Source organism: Homo sapiens, chromosome 19 (assembly GCF_000001405.40).
Source record: "Homo sapiens chromosome 19, GRCh38.p14 Primary Assembly".
In the NCBI taxonomy this organism is placed as follows: domain Eukaryota; kingdom Metazoa; phylum Chordata; class Mammalia; order Primates; family Hominidae; genus Homo; species Homo sapiens.
The window spans coordinates 54695220-54722653 of record NC_000019.10 but is presented as its reverse complement, the minus strand read 5'-3'; the positions used below and the strand labels follow the sequence as shown (position 1 = coordinate 54722653).

General features: G+C 45.4%; 2 pseudogenes across 1 annotated transcript; both read right to left on the bottom strand.

The window, feature by feature from the left end:
* On the bottom strand, window positions 9202-14738 carry LILRP2 (leukocyte immunoglobulin-like receptor pseudogene 2; annotated as a pseudogene). The gene is made up of 7 exons (NR_003061.2): window positions 14216-14738; window positions 13768-14052; window positions 13309-13618; window positions 12803-13099; window positions 12245-12547; window positions 9707-9757; window positions 9202-9558 (listed from the first exon to the last, which is right to left on the bottom strand). The product of NR_003061.2 is annotated as a leukocyte immunoglobulin-like receptor pseudogene 2 (transcript).
* Window positions 24156-26059, bottom strand: LILRP1 (leukocyte immunoglobulin-like receptor pseudogene 1; annotated as a pseudogene).

Here is a 27434-nt window from a genome sequence, read left to right as displayed (position 1 = left end):
GAGACGGGGTCTCACTATGGTGCCCAGGCTGGTCTCAAACTCCTGGCCTCAAGTGATCCTCCCATTTTGGCCTCCCAAAGTGCTAGGATTATTGAAATTATTAAATGTTTCATATCAACACCCAACCTTATGCACCCGCCGCCTACACAAATGTTTTTCAAGTCTTTCATATGCTTAATAATTTTCTGTGTACTTGTTCTGGAAGTGAGGTGAATGTTGCTATCTCTAGCTGCAATTTGGATGTGATTGATTATGTTTTGAATTATGCCTTTAATTTAATGTGTTTTGAGGTTCCAGCTTTAGGTGTGTAGGCATTTAGGATTATTATGTCTTATTTATGAATTTGCCTCTTTGTCATTATGAAGTACTCCTCTTCATATCTCCATATATCTCTTCTTTGTATGTGCATGGTGAAATATTTCATTCTTTGAGTTAAGAAACTTCTATTGAGGAATACTTTTTATTACAAACATTTACCTATTCTATGTATACAACTGACTAGAAGCATATTTTGCACTGGGCATTATCATGACAATGTAATGTCATTCTTTCAATATTTACATCTTGTGGATTAGTATTTGAAGTGCAGCTTATGTAGACAGCATAAGGTTGGGTGTTGATATGAAACATTTAATAATTGCACACGTATTTGCCTCTTGGGATACTTCCACTTTTTTGAATTTCAAGTTACTAAATGGTATCATTAATCTTTGCTTCAAGAGCTTAACATTTATTGTAGAACAATGCTTCATGTAATAAATTGTGAGACATTTTTAATGGCACCTTTATTGCAGGAAAATGTTTTCCTTTTCAGGTTGAAAGATTCTAGTTTGAAATATTTTCTTGTAGCACTTTAAAAATGTTGGTCCACCTATTTCTTACTTTCATAGTTTTGAATACAAAGTTTGCTGTCATTCTTGTATTTCTTCTTCTGTTTTTTATTTATTTATTTTTGACAGAATATCTTGCCGTCTCACCCAGGCTGGAGTGCAGTGGCATGATCTTGGCTCACTGCAACCTCTGCCTTCCAGGTTTCAGCAATTCCTGCCTCAGCCTCCTGAGTAGCTGGGACTACAGGCATGCGCCACCATACCCAGCCAATTTTTTTTTTTGTATTTTTTTTTTGTAGAGATGAAGTTTTGCCATATTGGCCAGAACTCCTGACCTCAAATGATCCACCTGCTTTGGCCTCCCAAAGTGCTGGGATTACAGGTGTGAGCCACTGTGCTCAGGCTATTTATTCCTTTTTATATAATATGAATTCACATTCATACATACCAGGGGTTAGGATTTCAACAAACGTTTCTGGGGGAGACCACTCAAAACACAGCACTCATCCTTGGTTATTTCCAGCCATGGAGCCTGTATCAATATCCTGGTGAATTATCTAAGCTGTCCACCTACCTACCCCAAATCCTCATGGTCACATAAAAGGCTAGTATAGTATAATAATTTTTCTTTCCCTGCTTATCTACAGTGATGAAGAAACGAATATTCAAAGGGAAAAATCTTAGCTTTAGGTATAGGGTAATTCTTCTTCCTATTTTTAAATAACTTCAACCTTTACTGTAGATTAAAGGTATGCATGCAGGTTTGTTACATAGGCATATTGTGTGACTCTGAGGTTTGTGGTTCCAACAATGCCATCACCCAGGCAATGAGCATAGAATCCAACAGGTGTTTCTTCAGCCTATACCTCCCTACTCCTCCCCCCATCTGTAGTCCTCGGTATCTGTTGTTTCCATCTTTATGTTCATGTGTATTCAATGTTTGGTTCTCAGTTATAAGTGATAACATGTGGTATTTGGTTTTCTGTTCCTGGGTTAGTTCACTTAGGAGATTGACCTCCTGCTACATTCATGTTGCTGCAAAGGACATGATTTCATTATTTTTTATGGCCATGTAATGTTCCATGTGTATATGTAGCACATTTTCTTTAACTAATCCACTGTTGGTGAGCACTTAGGTTGACTGCAAATCTTTGCTATTCTGAATTGCACAGCAATGAATATACTAGTGCATGTGTCTTTTTGACATAGTTAATTACCTTCCTTTTGGTATATACCCAGTAGTGGGATTGCTTGATTGAATAGTAGTTCTATTTTAAGTTATTTGAGAAGTCTCCAAACTGCTTATCACATTGGCTGAACTAGTTAACATTCCCACCAAGAGTGTATAAGTGTTCCCTTTTCTCCACAATCTTGTCAGCATCTGTTATTAAAAAAAACAAAAAACTTTTTAGTAATTGCTTCTGCTTCTCTGATTGTTGTGAGATGGTATCTCACTGTGGTTTTAATTTGCATTTCTCTGATGATTACTGATAATAAGCATTTGTTCATATGTTTTTTGGCCATGTGTACATCTTCTTTTGAGAAGTGTCTGTTCATGTCATACTTAATTGAGGTTTTTTGGTTTTCTGCTTGTTGATTTGTTTACATTCCTTATAGATTCTGGATATTAGAACTTTGTCAGATGCATAGTTTGCAAATATTTTCTCCCAGTCTGTAGGTTATCTGTTTACTCTGTTGATACTTTCGTTTGCTGTGCAGAAGCTCTTCAGTTGAGTTAGGTCCCAATTTCTGTCTTTGTCACAATTGGTTTTGGGGAGTTAGCCATAAATTCTTTGCCAAAGTCTATCTTGAGAAGGATATTTCCTAGGTTTTCTTCTAGAATTTTAATATTTTGAGGTTTTACATTTAAATCTTTAAACTATCTTGGGTTAATTTTTGTATATAGTGAGAGTTAGGGGTCCAGTTCTATTATTTTGCATATGAGTAGTCAGTTATCCCAGAACTATTTATTGAAGAAAGGGTACTTTCCACATTGCTTGTTTTTGTCAATTTTTTCAAAGATGATTGTAGGTATGTAGCCTCATTTCTGGGTTCTCTATTCTGTCTCATTGGTCTATGTGTCTGTTTTTGTAGTAGTATCATGCTGTTTGGGTTACTATAGCATTGTAGTATAGTTTGAAGTTGGGTAATGTGATGCCTGGGCTTTGTTCTTTGTGCTTAGGATTCCTATGTGTATTCAGGCTCTTTTTTTGGTGCCAAATACATTTTAGAATAAATTTTTATAATTTCGTGAAAAATGACATTGCATTTTGAAATGGATAGCATTGAGTCTGCAATTTGTTTTTGGAAGTATGGCGATTTTAACTATTTGTTCTCCTAATTCATGAGCATGGAATATTCTTCCATTTGTTTGTATCATTTCTTATTTCTTTCAGAAGTGTTTTGTAGTTCTCCTTGTAGAGAATTTTCACCTTCTTGGTTAGATGGATTCCTAGGTATTTTATTTTCTTTGTGGCTAGTGTAAATGGAATTGTGTTCTTGATTTAGTTCTCAGCTAGAATGTTAGTGGTGCATAGAAATGTTACTAATTTGTGTACATTTTTTTAATCCCGAAACTTTATTGAATTTGTTTATCAGTTTCAGGAGCCTTCTGACAGAGTCTTTAGGGTTTTCTATGTATAAAATTATTTCATCAGCAAAGAGAGACAGTATCACTACTTCTTTTCCAATTTTAATGCCTTTTATTTCCTTCTCTTGCCTGATTGCTTTGGCTAGGACTTCCAGTACCATGTTGAATTAAAATGGCGGGAGTGGTCATCCTGGTCTTGTTTCGGTTCTCAAGGGGTATGGTTCCAGCTTTTGCCCATCAATATGATGTTGGCTGTGGGTTTGTCATAGATGGCTCTTAATATTTTGAGGTATGTTCCTTTGATGCCTATTGACAGTTTTTATCATGAAGGGATGTTGGATTTTACAGAAAGCTTTTTCTGCATCTATTGAGATGATCATATAGTTTTTGTTTTTAATTATGTTTATGAGGTGAATCACATTCGTTGACTTTGTAGGTTGAACCAACCTTGCATCCCAAAAATAAAGCTTACTTGATCATGTGAATTAACTTTTGATGCACTGACAGATTCAATTTGCTAGCATTTTGTTGAGGATTTTATGTCTATGTTCATTAAGGATATTTAGTTGTAGTTTTCTTTTTTTCATTATGTCTCTGACAGATGTTGGTATCATGGTGATGATGGCTTCATAGAATGAGTTAGGAAGAAGCCCCCACTCCTTGATTTTTTCCAAAAGTTTCAGTAAGATCGGTATCAGTTCTTCTTTGTATGGCTGTTGGATTTTGGCTGTGAATCCATCTGGTCCTGGGCTATTTTTAGTTAGTAGGGTTTTTATTACTGATTAAATTTCTGAACTTGTTATTGGTCTGTTCAGGTTTTCACTTTCTTCCTGGTTGAAATATGATAAATTTTGTGTTACCAGGAATTTATCCATTTCTTCTAGGTTTTCTAGCTTGTTTGTATAGAGGTGTTCATAATAGTCTTTGACGATCTTTTCTATTTCTGTGGGATTGTTCGTAACATTGTTTTGTCAGTTCTATTTGTGTTTATTTGGATCTTTTCTCTTTTTCTTTGTTAATCTAGCTAACAGTCTATGAATTTTGTTTATTTTTTTTCAAAGAAAAACTCTTGGTTTTATTTATCTCTTGTATGGACTTTTTGGTCTCAATTTATTCAGTTCTCTCTGACTTTAGTTATTTCTCATCTTTTGCTGGCCTTGGGTTTGGACTGTTCCTTTTTTTTAATAGTTCCTCTAGATGCAGTGTTAAGTCACTAATTTGAGATCTTTCTAAACTTCTGATGAGGCATGTATTGCTATAAATTTTCCTCTTATCACTGCTTTAACTGCATCCCAAAGGTTTTGGTAAGTTTGTTTCTATTTTTATTAATTTTAAATAATGTTTTGTGATTTCTGCTTTAATTTCATTGTTCACCCAAGAGTTCTCAAGGGGTACAGTTCCAGCTTTTGACCATTCAATATGATGTTGGCTGTGGATTTGTCATAGATGGCTCTTAATATTCATTCAGAAACAAGTTGTTAAATTTCCATGTTTTTCTGTAGTTTTGAGAGATCATCTTGGTATTTTTTTCTATTTTTATTGTGTGCCTTGTTATGATTTTGATTCTTTGAATTTATTGAGACTTGCTTTGTGGCCAGTCTTAGAATATGATATGTTTTTTGTGTGTGCAGATAAGAAGAATCTATATTCTGCAGTTGTTGGGTGGAGTACTCTGTAGATGTCTATGAGGTCCAATTGGTCAAGTGTTGTCTTTAAGACCAGAATTTCTTTGTTAGTTTTCTGTTTTAGTGATTCATCTGACGTTGTTAGTGGGATACTGAAGTCCCTTACTATTATTGTGTGGCTGTCTAACTCTTTTCATAGGTGAAGAATAACTTGTTTTATGAATCGGGGTGCTCCAAATTTGGGTGCATATATATTTAGAATAGTTAAGTCTTCTGTCAAATTGAACCCTTTATCATTTTGTAATGCCCTTCTTTGTCCTTCCTGATTGCTGTTGATTTAAAGTGTGTTTCATGTGATATAAGAATAGGAATGCCTTCCTTTTTTTTGTTTCCTGGTTGCCTAGTAAATATTTCTTCATCCTTTTACTTTGAGCCTGTGGGTGTCATTACATGTGAGATGGGTCTCTTGAAGACAGCAGGCAGTTGGCTCTTGGCTTTTTATCCACGTTGCCACTCTATGCCTTTTATGTGGGGAATTTAGGCCATTTACATTTCTTCTCCTGATATATCCTTTTTATATTTTTATGATTGCCTTTTAAAATATATTGAATGGTTGTAATTCCAGGGAAATGTCTTTCAGAACAGTATTTATTCCCATCTACATGTTTTGGAGAGTGCACTAGGGGACATTGAAGTTTATTTCCTGAAAAGAGTTTAATTTTAAAATGTATTTTATTTAATAACTCAATGATTCAGGGAATGTCTAGGTATTTCAGAGATTGTTTTAGACAGTTTGTTTTCTTGTGATATGTGACCACTTCATCTAAGCTGAATAATGTCTTCATAATGTCCACTTAGAATCTTTTGAATTCTGTAGGATCTGTACTGATGTCATTGTTTCCTTTCTGATATTGGTAATTTTCCTGGGGTAGGATTCTTAGCTCCTCCTGAGGTCCTGCCTCTAAAATTCAGGGAACAATGAGTCAGATTAGTACTCTGATTTCAAAGGGAAAGCTGATCATCTACCATTTTTTGTTTATGTAAATGGACACATTAACATCCCTTGTCTGAACCTTAGTTACCTTGTTTGGAGCATTTTGCTATAAATCTCACTTCTCAGAGTGGTTGTGGGGCTTGATGTGGCTGGGGTATGGGATGGCTTAAACATAATTTATTTCCAGACCAGGTTAAGGCATGAAGGGGTTGGGACTTGTTAGAATCCTGTTGTCGGACTCCACAGTAAGGGTAGACATTTGAGGCACCCAATCAAAAACCTCAGTTGTTCCTAGCACTGAGAAATTTGATAGAATGTTTCTAAAACATTATTCATGGTCTAATGCACAAAAAGTAAAGTGATAGCCCTGGAAGTAGACAGGGAACCATAAGAAAAAAGAGAGAGCAAAGCTCAGTGGTCACCAGTGCCTGGGACCATCAAGGGGTTATTAAGGAGGAAGTTTCCACCTCTGTGGGGAACAGAAGAGGCTCCCTAGGGTCCACACACACAGGGAGTGAGCCAAGACTCTGGGCGAGGCTGGAAGCTCTGGGTCTCCTTCTGTGAGATTTTCTTTTTTTTTTTTGAGATGGAGTCTTGCTCTGCCACCCAGGCTAGAGTGCAACGGCGCGATCTCGGCTCATGGCAACCTCTGCATAAAGTGGTATGTATTTAAGGCATGCATTAGACAAATTACTAAGTATTTACTAGATAAGAAAAAATTATATCTGAATCTTTTCAAATTGCCGTCTTATGCATTATATTCTCTTTTTATAGTGCAATTTCTTAATAGTTAATGCCAGAAGATTTTTTTTTCTTCCTTTCTTTCTTTCTTTTTTTTTTTTTTTTGAGACAGAGTCTCACTCTGTTGCCAGGCTGGAGTGCAGTGGCACGATCTCGGCTCACTGCAACCTCCGTCTCTCGGGTTCATGCCATTCTCCCGCCTCAGCCTCCTGAGAAGCTGGGACTACAGGCACCCTCTACCATGCCCAGCTATTTTTTTTTTTTTTTTTGTATTTTTAGTAGAGACGGGGTTTCACCATGTTCGCCAGGATGATCTCTGTCTCTTGAACTCGTGATCCACCTGCCTTGGCTTCCCAAAGTGCTGGGATTACAGGCATGAGCCACTGCACCTGGTCGCCAAAAGATATTTTTAAAAACCTAAATGCCACTTGAAATGAATAAGACCCTCAATAATTCATGGGATATACATGTGAACTTATGACATATGATGAAATAAGCAGGTTACAAAATTGTAATATATCAAGCAAGGTAGAAAGCCATGGCAGAAAAAGAGACAAGCATTTTCAAGATAAGGAATGAAAGAGGGGAAACAGTACTATTGATTTTACAGATTTTACAAAGATATCTTAGGTGTGTTTTCCTAAATAATAAATGTACCCTCCTTTTGACCTTTATGTAATGAAATAACCATGCACACATTTTCAAATAATACTTCATTTACTTGACTTTATGCTTGAAAATTGAAGTATGGTGCTGTTTGTTATTTTCATTTATGCATTTTACTACCTTGTAATATTCCACTGAGTCTATTTACCACACTATGTTTATTTTTTTCGTAGGTGGACTTTGGTATTTTATAGCTTTGGCTAATAGGAACAGCATTCCTATAACAGTTGTGAGTGTATCATGACACATAAGTAGACATTTATCTCTAGGGTACATAATTAAGTACATAATTAAGAAGGGTCACAGCCATGTGCCTCCTCTTTTTAACTAGATAATTCCAATACACTTCCTTAATTGATTAAAGCAATTTGTACTCTTACTATTAATGTACTAAAATTCTACATGTTCAATATTCTTTCCAAAAAATGATTTTGCTACTTTTTTCTTTTCTTGAGACTGAGTCTTGCTCTATCACCCAGGCTGTAGTGATCTCGGCTCACTGCAACCTCCGCCTCCTGGGTTCATGCGATTCTCGTGCCTTGGCCTCCCAAGTAGCTGGGATTACAGGCAGGCGCCACCATGTCTGGCTAATTTTTGTATTTTTAGTAGAGACAGCGTTTCACCATGTTGGCCAGGCTGGTCTCGAACTCCTGACCTCAGGTGATCCTCCTGCCTCGGCCTCCCAAAGTGTTGGGATTACAGGCATGAGCCACCACACCCGGCCTATTTTTTTCTTTTCCCTCCATTGTGCTATGATTTTTGACATTACAATTTTACTGAAACTACACCATAAGAATGAAGCAGAAATTATTATAACCTTTAAATAAACTTTACAACTGGTTCATACTCGTGTGAACGACAATTCTTTTGACTACTTCCCAACTGTGCATTCAATGGCGTCATATGGGCACCCTGAAGTTGGCCATAAAGGACGTATTTATACCACACTAATCAGCAAATACCATAAATCTGGGGCTTTATATGTTCAGAGTTTTCTTAAGAAAATAATTTTTTCAGAGAGCCAGTTTAACAGAATACCATGAGGCTGAGCCTTCGAGCGTTAGTGTGCTCATTCTGAGAGATGATATTTCTGGACAAAGTACACAGGTATCATCCGATGAAGAGTGAAGGGAATTCAGGGTCCAGAGAGGGTGCTAGGGCATCATTTCAGACTCATATTTCCCTTTTTTTTTTTTTTTTTGGAGATGGAGTCTTGCTCTGTTGCCCAGGCTGGAGTGCAGTGGCAAGATCTTGGCTCACTGCAACCTCCGCCTCCCGGGTTCAAGCTATTCTCCCGCCTCAGCTTCCTGAGCAGCTGGGATTACAGGTGCTCACTGCCACACCCAGCTAATTTTTGTATCTTTTAGTAGAGACAGGGTTTCACCATGTTGGCCAGGTTGGTCTCGAACTTCTGACCTCAAGTGATCCGCCCACCTCAGCCTCCCAAAGTGCTGGGATTACAGGTGTGAGCCACTGTGCCTGGCCTCAGACTCATGTTTCAAAGTCCCAAATACAAATCTGCCCACCTATTCCAGTTATTTAATCCAGATCTATGCTCAGAACTGAAAAGATGGAGAATCAATAGTTCACTTTAGAGAATGCGGTAGTTGGAAACAAAGACAAATGTATTACATGACAGTGGACCAGAGCACGTGATCGCAGGGGTGTGGATGCAAACCCACCATGGGGGACGTGCCTTCACATCACAGAGAGCGAAAGGAAGGGAGGGGCAGACACGGAGGATCCACAACAGCAGGACTGAAAGCACTGCCATTTAATGGAAGTTTAATGGAGGAAGCGTTCTCTACAGGCACCCAGACATCTTCCTGAACCTGACCCAAGCCTCCCCTTCTCGACTTTCTCAGTAGACGGTTTCCCGAATGATGGTCCAGACTTTCTTCCAGAACCTCCTAGGACTATCAGATTCATTGCCAAGGCTCTGGCACTCTGAAGGGTGCATTGTTCTCTCATGTATTTACCTCCTTGCTGCATCTTGGGGACTTCTCTAGCTGTGCCAGTCCTAAAGCAGCAGAATCCCGAGGACCACCAGGACCAAGCCAGCCACAGCCACGCGGATGAGATTCTCCACTGTGTAATCCTGGGGGTGTGAGGCTGGGGATGGTGGACCAAGAGGTCTCAGAGGTCAGGGCAGATCAACATCACCCGGGACCCCTGGATGTCCACCCAGGGCACCCACCTCCCCTTCACAGGACCTGACCCTCTGTGCCAGCCCCATAACCGAGAGCATCTCCTTACACACCAGTCTTGGAGTCTGTCTTGTTTTGCGATGGGCTGAGGGTCTCAGCTGCTCCTGAGAATCAACCAAAAAAGGGGGAGGTGTGTGAGGAGTTGAAGAGACTTAAGCCAACATGTCCCTCAGTTGCTGCATTCCTTTGTGTCTACACTTCTCCTAACTGCTCTGTAGTTGTGTGATAGAACCTTTCCCTGCCGTGGCAGAGGTACATTCGCATACATACATACATATATGCATAGGTGTAAATATGTGTGTATACATAATATGTGTTATGCATATGTGTATACATAATATGTATTATGCATATGTGTATAGATAATATGTATTATGCATATGTGTATGCATAATATGTATTATAAGATATAGTGTGAGTATATATAAATATATAATATATAAGATATATAATAGTGTGTGTATACATATAAATATATAATAAGATATGTAATAGTGTGTGCATATATAAATATATAATATATAATAAGATATATAATAGTGTGTATATATAAATATATAATACATAATATATTATAAGATATATAATAGTATGTATATATAAATATATAATACATAATATATAAGATATATAATAGTGTGTGTATATATAAATATATAATACATTATATATTATAAGATATATAATAGTATATATAAATATATAGTACATAATATATAATAAGATATATAATAGTGTGTGTATACATATAAATATATAATAAGATATGTAATAGTGTGTGCATATATAAATATATAATATATAATAAGATATATAATAGTGTATATATATAAATATATAATACATAATATATTATAAGATATATAATAGTATGTATATATAAATATATAATACATAATATATAAGATATATAATAGTGTGTGTATATATAAATATATAATACATTATATATTATAAGATATATAATAGTATATATAAATATATAGTACATAATATATAATAAGATATATAATAGTGTGTGTATACATATAAATATATAATAAGATATGTAATAGTGTGTGCATATATAAATATATAATATATAATAAGATATATAATAGTGTATATATATAAATATATAATACATAATATATTATAAGATATATAATAGTATGTATATATAAATATATAATACATAATATATAAGATATATAATAGTGTGTGTATATATAAATATATAATACATTATATATTATAAGATATATAATAGTATATATAAATATATAATACATAATATATAATAAGATATATAATAGTGTGTGTATATATAAATATATAATACATAATATATATTATAAGATATAATAATGTGTGGGTAATATAAATATATAATACATAATATATAAGATATATAATAGTGCATATATAAATATATAATACATAATATATATTATAAGATATAATAATGTGTGGGTATATATAAATATATAATACATAATATATATTATAAGATATAATAATGTGTGGGTATATATAAATATATAATACATAATATATAAGATATATAATAGTGTATATATAAATATATAATACATAATATATATTATAAGATATATAATAGTGTGTGAGTATATATAAACACATACATATATATTTGAAGTGAGAAGAGTATTATATAATTTAGAAACAAACAAGTTTGTCCTCCATTTTCTTGTGGTTAATGTAATTATTATCAATAAATCAGAAGAGATCATTTCGGAAAGGATTGAAAGGGAGTGTGTCTGTGGTAAGTTAATAGGAACTAAAATTAGCATACCCAAACCAATAGCTTTCTCATCCATACGTAACTAATTTTAGAAAATAGAAAGGAATCAAAGACTTTCAAATTATTCAAGTAGTAAAACAATGCTTAAAATTCACAATGTCCACAATTTTTATGAATACAACTTCAAGCATCTGCTAACTGTATAAAGTTTAATTTTAAATGTATTGGATACAAAGACATTATTAATGAGAAGTTATTCTCCATCATGAATGCACATATTTAATTTAATCCCAAAGAAAATCAGAGCACAGTTATTTTACATCATAACGCTACCTAACAAATTAAATGTGTAAATTATAAATGCCAGCATTGCTTTGAAATCTTCAGAAACAGAAAGAGAAACTAGATATGTGGACATAAAAAATAAAGGACAGAAAGGAATTGCACACGAGGTTTGCTGTTGAATAATTTGCCTGCATTGCTGCAGTGAGCAGGTGCATGATCTCCCCTTCGTCTCAGGTATGCACTGAGTATTTTGGGGCCGCCAGGGGAGCCCAGGTGGGGAGTGGGTGGGGCCTCCATCTTCTACCCTCAGCCTAAGCATGATTCCTCCAAGGTTTCTCCATATCTCATTTCAGCCCTCCCTGGCCTTTAGCCCCATCTGAGGTCTCTGGGGTGGGAGCCCAGGATTAGGAGGTCCCTGACTATTTCCACCCTCTCATGGGCTGGGCCCTCCCCTGCCGACCCTCCCCCTTTACTCCCCTCTTTCCTTAGCGTCCTGAGCTCTCCTGGGGGCAGGGCCTGAGCTGAGGTTTGAGCTCAGAGAGGACAGGGTCAGCGGCCTCACCTGAGACCACGAGCTCCAGGGGGTCACTGGGGTGAGACAGCAGGTAGGGGAAGAATCTGCGTGAGCTGTAGCACCTGTAGGTCCCCGCGTGGGCTGAGGTCACAGGACTCATGGGGAATTCAGCCTGGTGCTGCTGAGCTTGGTGCTCTGATCTCAGACGCAGTGGGTGATGGGCTGCCCCCTCCTTGGTCAGAAGGAAAGTGTCCAACTGCTCCCGTGACTGACACAGCAGGGTCACGTTCTCTCCTGAGGCCACCGTGGGGCCCGGCTGCACCGAGAGGGAGGGTCTGCCACGGATCTGTCCTGGAGAGAAGAAGGATGGGTGAGGGGCTGCCCCACCTCGTTCTGAGCTGACACCTCCCCAGGCCTCTCCCTGGGACCCTCAGTGTCTCTGTCTCTGTTTTCTCTGAGTCTCCCCCTCCCCGCCCATCCCCTGTCTCTGTCTGTCTCTCCGTCCCTTAGGACCCCCACCCCTCATCCCGGCCATCACCACCTGGGCTCCCCCAGCAGGGCCTGTGCGGAGCCTGGGTCCCTGACTGAACCTGCTGGGCTCCTCACCTGCGATCAGGATGCTCAGGGGGTCACTGGGGGCCGACCACTCGGAGGAGAGGTTGTGTGCACCGTAGCATCTGTACTGGCCCCCGTGGGAGACCCTCACAGGGCCCAGGGTGAAGTTGGCCTGGGAGAGCCCAGCCTGGGGCTGCCGGCCAGAGCCCTGGACGAGGTCATGTCCCCCCTCCTTGTACAGAGTGAATTTGTCATAGCCGACATCAGAGCCACACTGGAGGGTCAGATTCTCCCCAGGGGCCACGACAGGGCCCTGCAGGGTCAGGAGGGAGGGCTTCCTAGACACGCCTGGAGGGAAAGAAGAGTCGGGACTAGGAGGGCTGGTTCCTCCCACACCCCTTCCTTCTCCCCTCCTGGCCCTGCAGGTCTCACTGTCTCTCACACTCAGTGTCTCTGGGCTCAGGAGTCCCAAACTTCCCTTGTTCCACCCTCCTACATGGGGCTCCGTGAGAGTAAGTTCTCAAAAATAAATAGGGCAAGGAGGAAGACATCCATACCTAAGACCAGGATCTCCATGGTATCACTGGGTTCCGACCACACCCAGGGGAAGTTCGTGTAATGCCCATAGCATCTGAACATCCACCGGTGACTGGCAGCCACACGGCCCACAGGGAACAGGGCCAGGGACAAGGGACAGCCCCTTGGAGAGTTCCTGTGAGTCCAGCATCCAGGAGAGCTTGTTTTCTCCTTCCTCAATCAAAATGAACCTGTGAAATCCCACCCTTGAGCTACACTGGATGGTCACGTTCTCTCCTGAGGTCACCACAGGGCTCGGCAGGGCTGAGAGAGTGGGTTTTCTGTGGGCTCCTAGGAGAGAAGGAGACACTGTCTTAAATGGGGCTCACGCGTCCCACATCATCCCCCAGGGCTGAGTTATTAGAACGGAGATGCCCTTGAGAGCTGACCCCCTTCCTGCAGGCAGAGCCTGGGGCTGGGACCCCTGAGTGTCCTCTTACCTGTCACCACCAGCTCCAGGGGCTCGCTGCGCTCTGACCAGCCTGCAGGGCTGAGATAGTGACAGTGGTATCTCCCTGCATGGTGCTCTCTCATGGATGGGATGAAGAAGTTGGTCTTGTTCCTGGGCTCTGGTGGGCTCTGTTGGTACCAGGTCATGGGGTTTCCTTCCTTGGTGAGATAGTAACCCTGGGTATCCAGGGTCCCCTGGCACCAGAGGGTCATGGGGCTCTCCCAGGTAATCACAGAGCCTGGCTCAGCCCAGAGGCTGGGTTTGGGGAGGGTCCCTGGAAGAAACCACAGGCTGGGGTCCACAGACCTCCCCCGCTCCTCATTCCCAGCTCAGGTCACAGACCCTCTTGATTTTCTCACCCTCAGTTCAGAAGCCCCTGAGATGAGAGTCCAGGTGCTGAGTGTGAGGTCAGGCATGGGAGGTTAGCAGAGACTCACCTGCAAGTGCTTGGGCTTTCTGGCCCAGACTCAGCCATGGAGAAGAGTTTCCTGTGGGGGATTTGGAACACAGAGGTGTGGCTGCTTCCCTTCCTGTTGGAGCACCAGTAGCCACTGGAGCCCTGAGGCTCTCTGGTGAACAAGGCTGCTGTGGGACCCTCCCCACCTCAGCCCAGTGCCCCTCCTGTCCCTCGTCTCTCCACCACTGACTGAGGCACAGAAGAACAGTGAGGATGGACACCATGATGCCTGCTCTGCGTGCTCCAGCTGTGGGACAGGTGACCACATGGCCCTCCATGACAGACAGATGCACGGATGTGGTTAAGTCAGAGCCTGCTGCCGCCTGCCTGGGTCCCCACAGCTGTGAACCCACAGGAAGTGGACAGCCCCTTGCTGGGCCTGTCTCTTATTCCCCCCCCAGTGCAGGGGCTCAGGAGGACCCAGGCCCTCTGCACACATCTCAGCCCAGACCTGAGGTGTCCCCTGATTGCCAGGGATCCTTTGTCTGAAAACCTGCCCGTGGAGGGTGGACCCAACATCATATCTATGTCAGCTCCCAACTTAGCTGGGTCTAAACTGAAAACACAGCCCTTATTTTCTCAGAGCCTCCACTCATGACATCGGCTTTCTTTTTCCCCACTGATGCAAAGACAAATATTTCCCAGCAGAAAGTCATCCTGATCTGGAGAGACCCATTTCCTGCGTTCAGTAAATAAAGTCAGTTTCATTAGGGGAGGCTCTGGGAAAATAAGGGGATGCAGACTAGCAGAAGATGAACATTTAGCTACTTGTTTCTCAATTAATTGATTTATTACCAAAGAGAGAGAAGTGGAAACATGAGAATAGGGACCATGACTAGAATGTGGTTGAGGGAATGGTTTCTATCTTATTCCCTGGCAGAGAACTAAGGGATAAGAATGAGAAAGCTGGCTGGGTGCAGTGGCTTACACCTGTAATCCCAGCACTTTGGGAGGCCGAGGCAGGAAGATCACAAGGTCAGGAGTTCAAGACCAGCCTGACCAACATGGTGAAACCCCTGTCTCTACTAAAAATACAAAAACTAGCTGGGTGTGCTGGCATGCGCCTGTAATCCCAGCTACTAGGGAGGCTGAGGTGGGAGAATCGCTTGAACCTGGGAGGTGGAGCTTGCAGTGAGCCGAGATCGCGCCACTGCACTCCAGCCTGGGCAACAAAGCCGGACTGTCTCAAAAAAAAAAAAAAAAAAAAAAAAAAAGAAAGAGAGAAAACCCAGCAGTGAGAGGTAGTTGTGAGAACACACTAAAGAGGAAAGATAATCCAGGGCTGGGAGTGGTGGCTCATGCCTGTAATTCCAGCACTTTGGGAGGCTGAGGCTGGCAGATCACAAGGTCAGGAGTTCGAGACCAGCCTGACCAACATGGTGAAACCCTGTGTCTACTAAAAATGCAAAAATTAGCTGGGTGTGGTGGTGGGTGCCTGTAATCCCAGCTACTCAGGAGGCTGAGGTGGGAGAATCGCTTGAACCCAGGAGACGGAGGTTGCAGTGAGCTGAGATTGCACCACTGCACTCCAGCATAGGCAACAAAGCCAGACTCTGCCAAAAACAAAAACAAAAACAAAAACAAAAACAAAAAACAAGAAAGCTCAGTGAGAGGTGGTTGTGAGAACACACTAAAGAGGAAAGATCATTCAGGGCTGGGAGTGGTGACTCACGCCTGTAATCCCAGCACTTTGGGGGGCCACAGGCGGGTGGATTACCTGAGGGCAGGAGTTCAAGACCAGTCTGGCCAACATGGTGAAACCTCGTCTCTACTAAAAATACAAAAACTAGCTGGGTGTGATGGCGGGTGCCTGTAATCCCAGCTACTTGAGAGGCTGAGTCAGGAGAATCTCTTGAACCCAGGAGGCAGAGGTTGCAGTGAGCTGGGATCGTGCCACTGTACTCTAGCCTGGGTAACAGAGCAAGGCTCTGTCTCAAAAAAATAAAAATTAGAAAGAAAAAAGGAGAAGGAGAAGAGGAAGGAGACAGAAAGGAGAGAAACATCCCTGAGGTGGAACATTACATGCAACATGGAGTAGGCAGGGAATCCGATAGAGCACTGAAACTCTCGCTGGGTACGGTGGCTAACATCTGTACTCCCAGCACTTTGGGTGGCCGAGGTGGATGGATCACCTGAGGTCAGGAGTTTAAGACCAGCCTGACCAACATGGTGAAACCCCATCTCTACTAAAAATACAAAAGGCTGGGTGTGGTGGCTCACGCCTGTAATCCCAACACTTTGGCAGTCTGATACAGGCGGATCACATGAGATCAGGAGTTTGAGACCAGCCTGGCCAAGATGGCAAAACCTCATCTCTACTAAAAATACAAACATTACCTGGCTGTGGTGGCAGTCGCCTGTAATCCCAGCTATGCAGGAGGCTGAGGCAGGAGAATCGCTTGAACCTGAGAGGTGGAGGTTGCAGTGAGTCAAGATCGTGCCATTGCACTCCAGCCTGGCCAATAGGAGCAAAACTCCATGTGAAAATAAAATAAAATAAAATAAAATATAATAAAATAAAATAATAAATCAAAAAAGGACTGGACATCTCCTGTGGGTTGTCAGTGAATGGAACTAAGCAAGCCACCGCTCTTTCCCTTTTGTCCCGCAAGTGTCTTTCTTGGCCTCCAGGAAGTGAGTTCCATCATGTCAGACCCTATGTTTGTTCCTGCTGGGTTCACTGAGGCTCCTCCCTTTCCACCTGTGGCTCCCCATGGGTTCCCAGTCCCCAGCCAGTGTTGTGAATCGAGCCAGGAAGACCAGCCCTATCACACCCCTCCTGATGGAATTCCCACAGTGTCATCCTGGAGAACAGGGGCTGGGGGCTGGGGTAGGATCAGAGACCTTTTCATGTGGGCCAGGCCCCTCCCTCCACAGGAGCTCTGACACGAAGCTCATCACCATTCATTTCACCCTGACGATATTCTTCCTGCCCAGACACCCCCGTTCTCCCTATGTCATCATGGGCACCTCAGTGAAATCCATGGTTGAGGGTCTCTGTCACTTACTCTGCCCTCTTCTTGGAAAATTTCCTTGGATCCTTCCAGAGCCCTTCCTGAGTGTGCTGCAGGGTCTCTGCCACATGACACACTCTCAGGAACCCTCATCCTCCCCTTAATCTACTGCGCCCACATAGCCAGGTGCAGGCTCCGTTTCTTCATCTTCCCTTCCCCACAGGCCCCGATGGAGAGTGGATTAGACTCGCTCCTGAGTAGGGACTCAGGTCACTCTGACCCCTTCCTCCCTGTGGACGAGGCCTCTGTCCCAGAGCTTTGGAGGCTGAAGGGCCTTGTGGATTCCCGCACTGGCCACAGTCTCCGATGCAGATGGGGAACTGGGGACCTGGGAGGGGTTGCCTAGCCCAAGGCCACATAGCTGGGCGGTGGCACAGCCTTCACTCACACAGGGACATTCCATCTTCCCAGGGACTTCACACTGGAGGCTAAGAGCCCCACTTTGCACACCACATTCAGGGGTAGATTCTGTGTGTGACTAACAAGTTCTCTTAGGGTTCCGAGGTAACAGGACAGCAAATGGATGAGTGAGAGTTTCCCTCACCCCACTGAAGTAGGACCATTCTCTGTGGAGGGTTGGTCCCCTGACTTCCTCTACTCTGTCATCTCCCTAGTGACTGATAGGGGTCCTGGGGTCTCTTCCCTGGAATCCCATGAGGGACAATTCCTTTCCTGAAGGGAAGGTATAGAGAGGACTAGCAGGTGCCTGGTGATGGAAAGTCCCCATAATCAAGAGACATTGCCTCCCCCCCCCGGCATGATAAATATCTGGGTTTCCAAATGGGAAATCTGTCTGTGATGAGAGCTCAGGAGGGGCTTCTGGAAGATGGAAAAGGGCTAGAGGCTGAGGCCACTGCTTATCTCCCCACACTGTATCTGGCTTCACCTCCTGTGTTTGTCCTGACCTCTTCCTTCACTCACCTGGATAAGTAGGACCCCAAAGTGGGCCTCCAGACAGGAAGCAGTGGAGAGTGTGGAGCTGCCCTGTCTACCACCCTACACCCTGACACCACTGTCATACTCAACCTCTCTTTTCCTCTTTGTGTTTCTCATTGCTTCATTTTGTCTGGAATCCCTAAGATTCCCATGTCTCCAGCAGGCTGTCCCTCAGACGTGGCTATATGATTTAGTGTTTCACAGGGCATGCAGCAGGCATGGGCTACCCCCAGTAACAGTGGTCATCTAGGGCTGATCACTCACAGGCAGAGCCATCGACAGAGAGCTGCAGCATCTAGAGGTCCCATCACCAGCCCCAAGACCCAGAGAGAAGTTGGCCTGAATGCCCCACTCTGTCTCTGCACCCCAGTGAGCCAGTGTCCAGGGGCCTTACCTTCCTCGTTAGAAGGCACAGGTCAAATGAGCTTCCAGAGCTGCAGAGCAAAGTCACATTCTCTCCATCATTACTTACTGCAGGGCACAGTTGAGCTGAGAAGGAAGGTCTCTTGTAGACGCCTGGGGAAAAAAATAGTCCTTGACTGTCGAGCACAAGCCTTACCCAGCCTATCCTCAGGGCATGAAAAAGGCATTCTCTCCACCTGTTCTGGGGAGCACACTCTGTTACCCACTCGTGCCTCTCTCCATCTCAGTTCTAGCTCTACAAGCTGGCTCATCATGTGTGTGTTTTCCTGTCTGTCTTTGCTCAGCTTTTCCTTGAATCTCTTGCTTTTTGCCGGTGCGTGTGTGGCTTTCTGCCCTTAGAACCATATGAGATTTAGGGTTCTCCTGGCACATAGAACTGTTTACTTTGAGGACCCTCAGAAAACATAGCCCTGGGCTAAGGCTCCCTGTCCTGGAACTAGAAGGTTATGGGTGTCACCATTTCCCAACAGCATGTCTGAAAGTGCCAGAATCTTCAAAGAGTCTGCAACATGTTTGTAGGATCTTTATAGGGTCTGATATTGCAGGGACCAACCAAAGTGCCCTCACACCCCAAGACGCTGGAAGTGACCCCTTGCTGAAAGTGGTTGGAAGTTTCACATAGAAGTTTGAGTTAAGCCACATTGCTGAGCAATGCCTCAGCATCCCAGTCTTCATCCAGACCTTCCAGGAGCCTGGCTGGAGGGGGTGTCTCTGGTGTGTCACTGAGCCTTATAGCAGAGGAAGGGGGCTATGGTGGAAACTACCTCCAAGATACCACTCAGTCCTAAGCTGGGGAACAAGCTGAGCTTGGATTCTGGTAGTGAATGAACCGGGAAACATTTATTTGAAGGGTTCTAAGAGTAGCATCGTGTGGGTGCGTTAATTGTATGTGAAGGGGAAGATCCTGAGAAAACAAGAGCTGCTCCACTCTGTGCCTGGGTTTACCAGAGGGACCGATGAGGTCCTCACAAGACCCAGGAATCCCACCGGGGGAAGGAGGCTTAGGGAGATGTGTTTAAGACTGTTAAGTGAGTCACAGACAGAAGCAGATCAAGCCATCCCACCACCTAGGTTTGTGGTTTTGTTTCTCCTAAACTTCCTTTCTGTAAGTAGCAGAACCTTCTCATCACCATCCTTCAAAACCTCTGCATTGTTTGAGCTCCTTGTATTTTCTGGAGATTAATCTCTTGCTTGCAAATATTCTTTCCCATTCTGTAGGTGGTCTCTTCACTCTGCTGTTTGTTTCCTTGATTGTGCAGAAGGTTTGCAGTTTGCTATGATCTCATTTGCCTATTTTTGCTTTTGCTGCCTGAGCTTTTGAGGGTTTTTTTTTTTTGTTTTTTTTTTTGAGACGGAGTCTCGCTCTGTCACCCAGGCTGGAGTTCAGTGGCATGATCTCAGCTCATTGCAACCTCCGCCTCCCGGGTTCAAGTGATTCTCCTGCCTCAGCCTCCCTAGTAGCTAGGACTACAGGCGAGTGCCACCACACCCGGCTAATTTTTGTATTTTTAGTAGAGGCAGGGTTTCACCACGTTTGGCCAGGCTGGTCTCAAACTCCTGACTTCAAGTGATCCACCCACCTTGGCCTCCCAAAGTGCTGGGATTACAGGCGTGAGCCACTGCGCCCGGCGTTGTATTGGATTTTTAATTCAGCCCTATTTTCTCCGACATTTGATATTGGCATTTTTGTCTTTTTTGGATATGCTAGGATCATGGTGTCATAATTTAATTTTAATTTTTATTTTTATTTTAAGTTCCGGGGTACATGTGCAGAATGTGTGGGCTTATTGCATAGGTCAATGTGCGCCATGGTGGTTTCCTGCACCTGTCAACCCATCACCTAGGTATTAAGCCCAGCATACATTAGCTATTTTTCCTAATGCTCTCCCTACCCCTACCCCACCCCCCCCCCGACAGGCCCCAGTGTGTGTTGTTCCCCTCCCTGTGTTCACGCATTCTCATTGTTCAGCACCCACTTGTAAGTGAGAACATGCAGCGTTTGATTTCCTGTTCCTGTGTTAGTTTCCTGAGGATAATGGTTTCCAGCTCCATCCATGTCCCTGCAAAGGACATGATCTTGTTTCTTTTTATGGCTTCATAGTATTCCGTGGTGTATATGTCTCACATTTTCTTTATCCAGTCTATCATTGATGGGCATTTGGGTTGATTCTATGTCTTTGCTATTGTGAATAGTGCTGCGATGAACACATGTGTGCATGTATCTTTGCAATAGAATGATTTATATTCCTTTGGGTATACGCGCAGTAATGGGACTGCTTTTACCTGTGCCAAAATACTGAAGTAGAAATGATTATTCACTCTAAAATGGAAGGTAATAAGATGTATACGTGAGCTATCAGATGCCTGGTGCTTATGAGTGAAGACAAGTCTGTCCAACGCTTCCCAACCCTGCATTCAGGGATGTCTCGTTGGCATCTTGATTATGGCCATGAAAAAAGAATTTACGTCAAGGAAATTGGTAAATGCCACTAATCATAGCATTTCAAAAAATGTCTTTTTCAGAATTAGCATACCATTGGGTCGTGACTTCAAATGCCAGTGTGTTGATTCCAGGTGGTGATATTTCAGGAGAAACTACACAGATAGCATCTGATAAGGAGGGAAGAGCTCATAGGGTCCACACAGGAGGTGAGGGCATCACGGTGCATTTATCTTTTCCTGGTCGGACTCTGATCTTCTCCCGTTGAATTAGTTCCTAAACCAGGTGCGGAACTCTGAACTGAAGACATGAAGACCCAGTAAAGTACACCAGGAAGTGTGGCAATGAGAAATGAAGAGGACTGTGTGACACGCCATGGACCAGAGCATGCAGGTGTGCAGAGGTGTGGACCCAACGCTGCCATGTGGGATGGAGCCTCATGTCTAAGTGTGGGAAAAGAGGCAGATCCAACCAAGGAAAGTCAACATTAATGGAGAGGAAAGGTATCACATTTTAATGGTTCTCCATGGATCACCCCAGAAAATGTCCCTGCACTCGGACATTGATTCCTTCCTCTGGAAATGACCAGCAGACAGTCCAGATAGCATCGGCCCTAGATTTTCTTCCAGAACCTCCTGGGATCATCAGATCTGTTCCTGAGGCTTCACGACTCTATAAAGTACATTATCCTCTCTGCTGTTCACCTCCCGGCTGCATCTTGGGAAGCTTCTCTGGCTGTGCCAAGCCTCAAATGACAGAATCCCGAGGACCACCAGGATCAAGCCAGCCACGCCCATGTGGATGAGATTCTCCACTGCGTAATCCTGAAGGTGTGAGGCTGGGGATGGTGGACAAAGAGGTCACAGAGGTCAGGGTGGATCAGATTGTCCACCCAGGGCACCCACCTCCCCTTCACAGGACCCAACCCTCAGTGCCAGCCCCATCACTGAGAGTATCTCCTCACATACCAGTCTCAGAGTCAGACTTGTTTTGTGATGGGCTGAGGGTATCAGCTGCTCCAGAGAATCAAAACAGAGAAAAAGAGACCTGAGCCCAGCCTCTCACCTGGGCTCTGCAATTTTTTTTTTATTACTTAATGTCTCATGATGTGACTTTTACAGAATTTCTAAAAAAAAAAAAAAAAAACCTCTTCCTCCGCTAGCAGGATTCCCTCTAGTCTCCTCATTGAACGATTTCAGTTTTCCTGTGTTCTATGGATTTAAACATTGCTCCTGAGTCATCTGGGAGAGAGTTTTCCTGCATCCTGAGAGCTCAGGATCTGCAAGGAAAGTGGTCCCCAGTACAGAGGTCACTAAGGCCTGTGTGCTCTCTGTGCAGCCTGGGACACAGGAGAACATGAGCCAACTCCCCCGGAGATGAGAGTTTCACGGATCCACCAGCTGAGGACCCAGGCTCCGTGGATGAGGGTTAGTCATCAGGGGAGCCTCAATGTCAGAAGCACAAAGGGGTGAAATTCTGGGGCTGCCTCCCCTTCATGCCCTCAGCCACTTCACCTGGAGTTTCATTGTCCATTTAATCTCTAGGTAGCTAATTATTCGTATAGGCAGCAACAGGTAGAATGTGATACACACACAGAAAAACACAAACACAAATATATATCTGTTTTATATATATAGTGGGCCTTAAAAACTATCTCTGCCTTCTTGAAGTGTGGGTTCACCTGGAGACAAACAGCAAACATATAGAAACACAGCAGTGGAAATTTACTAGTCGTAGCAATGGTTTTAGATATATTGGTAGAGACCTATATTTATGTGTGAATATATATTATTTGTATAGATATACGGATAACTAGGTTTCAATGTCACGTAAGATGTTGGTGTGACCACACACGCGCACACACACACACACACGTATATGCAGAGAGTGGAAGAGAGAGAGAAGGAATTCAGCCGCATGGTGTAGGTTGGTTAATTACTTGACATAAATGAGAAGCAGGCAGGACTGGGCTGAGCTGTGTCGTCAGTGAAGGTCACACTTGGAGGTGACATTGAAGCTGATTCCTCAATAGGAAAAAGGGCCAGGAAGGAGGCGTGTGGAGACCCAGACAGGGAGCAACAGAGGCTCCAGAAAGAGCAGGTCCCAGAAAGGTCTCAGCCTGTTCTTCAGAAAGGAATGGCCGCTTGTCTACAGGGTGGAGGAGGAGGCAGAGGAGGAGGGGAGATGAGCTTCGGGGCCTTGGTGGATTGAGAATAGGCCAGGATGAACCGGCCAGGAAAGAGCGGCCCCAATATCTCTCTCTCTGTCTCTCTGTCTCTGTCTCTGCCTCTCTCTCCCTCCCTCTGAGGTCTGGAAAGTGCTGTAGGGTTTCAAGGAGTGGTACCAGTCATTTGACTTTTTCTGAAAAGATAAGCCCTACCCCCTCCATAGCAAATGTCCAGAACGAAGGAAGTCCACATTTCTACCTGAAGTTTACAAAACCTCAGGGAGCACGTGAGATCAGGGCTATTACGAAACCGGGTGAGAATAAAAATAGGTGATGCTGCAAATCTACTTTCACCAGCTTGGACAAAAAGGCCAATATGAGATTTTAAAAACCCAAATAAAAAATGTCAACGGCGCAGAAGAGGAGCGGTGCACATTCCCTGAGCTGCTGCGGGAGCACGTGCAAGTCCCTGTGAGGCTCAGGTGTGCGCTGAGTGCTGGGGAGGCTGCAGGGGAAAGCAGGAAGTGGGGCGGGGTGGGGGGGGGTCGGGGGTGGATGCAGGTGGCACCGGCAGCCTGGATGCTTCTCTCTCCAGGAGGGCGTCTGTTGGGGACTGGGACACAGAGGCTCTGATTCTGAGGTGGAGACACCAGGATGGGAGCAGGTGGGGCCTCCGTCTTCCACCCTCAGTCTAATCTCAACTCCTTTGAGGTTCACCCCCCGTCTCCTCCCAGCCCTCCCTGCACTTTACTCTACTGAGACTTCAGGGGTGGGAGCCAGGGGTGGGAGGTCCCTGTCTATTTCCATCTTCCCATGGGCTGGACCCTCCCCTGCGGACCCTCTCCCTTCACTCCCCTCTTTCCTTAGTGTCCAGAGCTCTGCTGGGGGCAGGGCCTGAGCTGAGCCTTTGAGCTCAGAGAGGACAGGGTCAGCGCCCTCACCTGAGACCACGAGCTCCACGGGGCCACTGGGGTGAGACAGCAGGTAGGGGTCGGAGCTGAGTGAGCCGTAGCACCTGTAGGTCCCCGTGTGGGCTGAGGTCACAGGACTCATGGGGAATTCAGCCTGGTACTTATGAGCTCCGTACTTTGATCTCAGACACAGCAGGGGATGGGCTGCCCCCTCCTTGGTCAGAAGGAAAGTGTGCATCCACTCTTGTGATTGACACAGCAGGGTCACGTTCTCTCCTGAGGCCACTGTGGGCCACAACTGCACTGAGAGGGAGGGTCTGCCAGGGATCTGTCCTGGACAGAAGACAGATGGGTGAGGGGCTGCCCCACCTTGTTCTGAGCTGAGACCTCCCCAGACCTCTCCCTGGGACCCTCAGTCTCTGTGTCTGTTTTCTGAGTCTCCCCCTCCCCCCATCCCCTGTCTCTGTCTGTCTCTCCCTCCCTTGGGACCCCCACCCCTCATCCCGGCCATCACCACCTGGGCTCCCCCGGCAATGCCTGTGCCGAGCCCGGGTCCCTGACTGAACCCGCTGGGCTCCTCACCTGCGATCAGGATGTCCAGGGGGTCACTGGGGGCCGACCACTCGGAGGAGAGGTTGTGTGCACCGGAGCATCTGTACTGGCCCCCGTGGGAGCCCCTCACAGGGCCCAGGGTGAAGTTGGCCTGGGAGAGCCCAGCCTGGGGCTGCTGGCCAGGGCGCTGGAGGAAGTCACATTCCCCCTCCTTGTACAGAGTGAATCTGTCGTAGCCGACATCAGAGCCACACTGGAGGGTCAGGGTCTCTCCAGGGGCCAGGACAGGGGGAGAGCTCTGTCCTCCCATGTCAGAGCCTCCCCATGGGGTCTCCCTCATGCCTTCAGCCCATCCATCAACACATCACTGTGGGTCCTTTCCAGATTCAGTCACCAGCCAAACTCCCCACAACCTGTCAGCTGTCCGGAAAGTGTGTTAGAGAAGGCCGTGGCTCCCTCACCTGAGGGCAGAATCTCCAGGGGGTCACTGGGGTGGGACCACACCTGGGGGGTGTTCATATAATAGTAATAGCATGTGAACCTCCACCTGTGGCTGGGGGTCACGGGGCCCACAGGGAACAGGGCCTGGAACCCCCCACTGTGGAGCTGCTGTGAGTCCAGGGTCCGGGGGAGCTGGTGTTCTCCTTCCTTCATCAGAACAAAATGGTGATATCCCTTCTGTGAGCCACATCGGAGGGTCACTTTCCCTCCTGAGGCCACCACAGGGCTGGGCAGGGCTGAGAGGGTGGGTTTGCTGTAGAATCCTAGGAGAGAAGGAGGCACCATGTTAAATGGGGCTCCCACCTCCCACATCATCCCCAGGGCTGGGCTGTGAGAGGGAGACACCCCTGAGAGCCAACCCCCTTCCTGAGGGCAGAGCCTGGGGCTGGGACCCCTGAGTGTCCTCTCACCTGTCATCACCAGCTCCAGGGGGTCACTGGGCTCTGACCAGCCCGCAGGGCTGAGATAGTAACACTGATATCTCACTGCATGGTGCTGTGTCATGGATGGGATGGAGTATCTGGCCTTGTTCCTGGTCTCCAGTGGATTCGTTCTGTCCCAGGGCTCTGTGCTTCCCTCTTTATATAGATGGTACTCCTGGGCTTCCAGGGTCCCCTGACACCACATGGTCATGGGGCTTCTCCAGCTGATCACAGAGCCTGGCTTAGCCCAGAGGGTGGGCCTGGGGAGAGTACATGGAAGGAAATCAAAGCCTGGATCCCAAGACCTTCCCCACCCCTCAGATCATCCCAGCTGCCTGCCCAGAACTGCTGTCTCCATCCCCAACTGTCCAGGGTGAGGAGGAGGGACCTGGGAGAGCTGGGGACAGACTCACCTGCCTGCATGCGGGTCCTGGGGCCCAGACTCAGCCCTGGAAGAGAATTCCCAGTGAGGGATTTGCCCCGTGAAGCCTGAGCAAGTCCTCCCCTGCCTGGGAGCTCCCTAAAGCCCTGGGATCTCTTGATGGACCAGGGCCTGTGGGGTTTCCTCTCTCCTCTTCAAATCTCACCAAAGCAAAGCAAAGCAAGGCTGTGAGGGCGGCGGTCATGGCGTCTCCTCTGCCTCCTTTCAGCTTTGCAAATGGATGAGCCGTTGGTGCTGGCAGGACAGAGAGACACACAGGGTGTGGCCCCTCAGAGGCTGGGTCTTTCTTGTCATGGGGTTATCTCATCCGCAGCCCACAGGAACGGAAACTGCCCTCCCCAGGAGGCTGGCTCTCATTTCCCCAGGGCTGAGATGGGGGTGGGCACCAGGCTCTCTGCAGACATTTCAGAGAGAAATGGGGTCTCCCTGCCCCCAGGCCACTGTCTGCCTGATCTGTCTTTATCTTACCGAGAGCCGGGACACAACAGCAAATAGACCTGATGCCTTCCGGAGTCAGCCCCTTTCAGGCGAGGGTGACCTCCTCCCGCTCAGAGCCTCCCCATGGGGTCTCCCTCCCTCCTTCAGCCCATCCATCAGCTCAGCGTTGCGGGGTCCTTACCATGGTCAGTGATTCTCCAGCCCTGGAGATGCTTCAGGGAAGACCCAGGTCCATGCTGCAGGCAGACTCAGATCAGCAGAGACGCACCTGACACCTGGCTGTGCAGCCGAGGCTGAGCTGCATGTGGCAGTGAGAACACAAGAGAGATGCAGGGAATAAAGAGAATAAAACATATGTTTTTCTGTCCCTGGAGTGTGTGTTTCCTTTCTGCCAAACAGTCCCTTTCTTGTCCCTTCAAGAACAGTCTCTTCCTTTCTACCAAACTTCCTATTTTTTTCCTTCCTTCCTTCCGTCCTCTTCCTCCCTCCCTCTCTCCCTCCTTCCTTCCCTCTGTCTTTCCTTCCTTTCTTTTTGCAGCAGCATCCACCCCCCACCCCTGAGAACAAACCTCTAAGTCATTCCTGCCTTCTCAGTGCCCCTCACTTCCTGGGCCTTCCTCTGTGCCTTAATCCACGTTTAAGGTTTTTGGAGCAATTACGTTAGGTTTGAGCTCTGATTTCGGACATTGGGTTGGGAGGTGACTTTTATTTAATTCCTGATTATCATCCCCTGCCTGTGTGACCTTGGGAAGTAATATCCCATCCCTGAGCCTCAATTTCCACGTTTGGAGCCTGTTGTCATGATCCCCACTCATCACAGTGGCTATGGGGGTCAGTGGTGCCCAGGACATGGGAGGGGCTCAGCCATGGTTAATTTCTAGACCAGTTAAGACAGGAGGGTGGGGATGGGAGAGGATCCTGATGTTGGGCTCCACAGTGGAGGACGATGATTG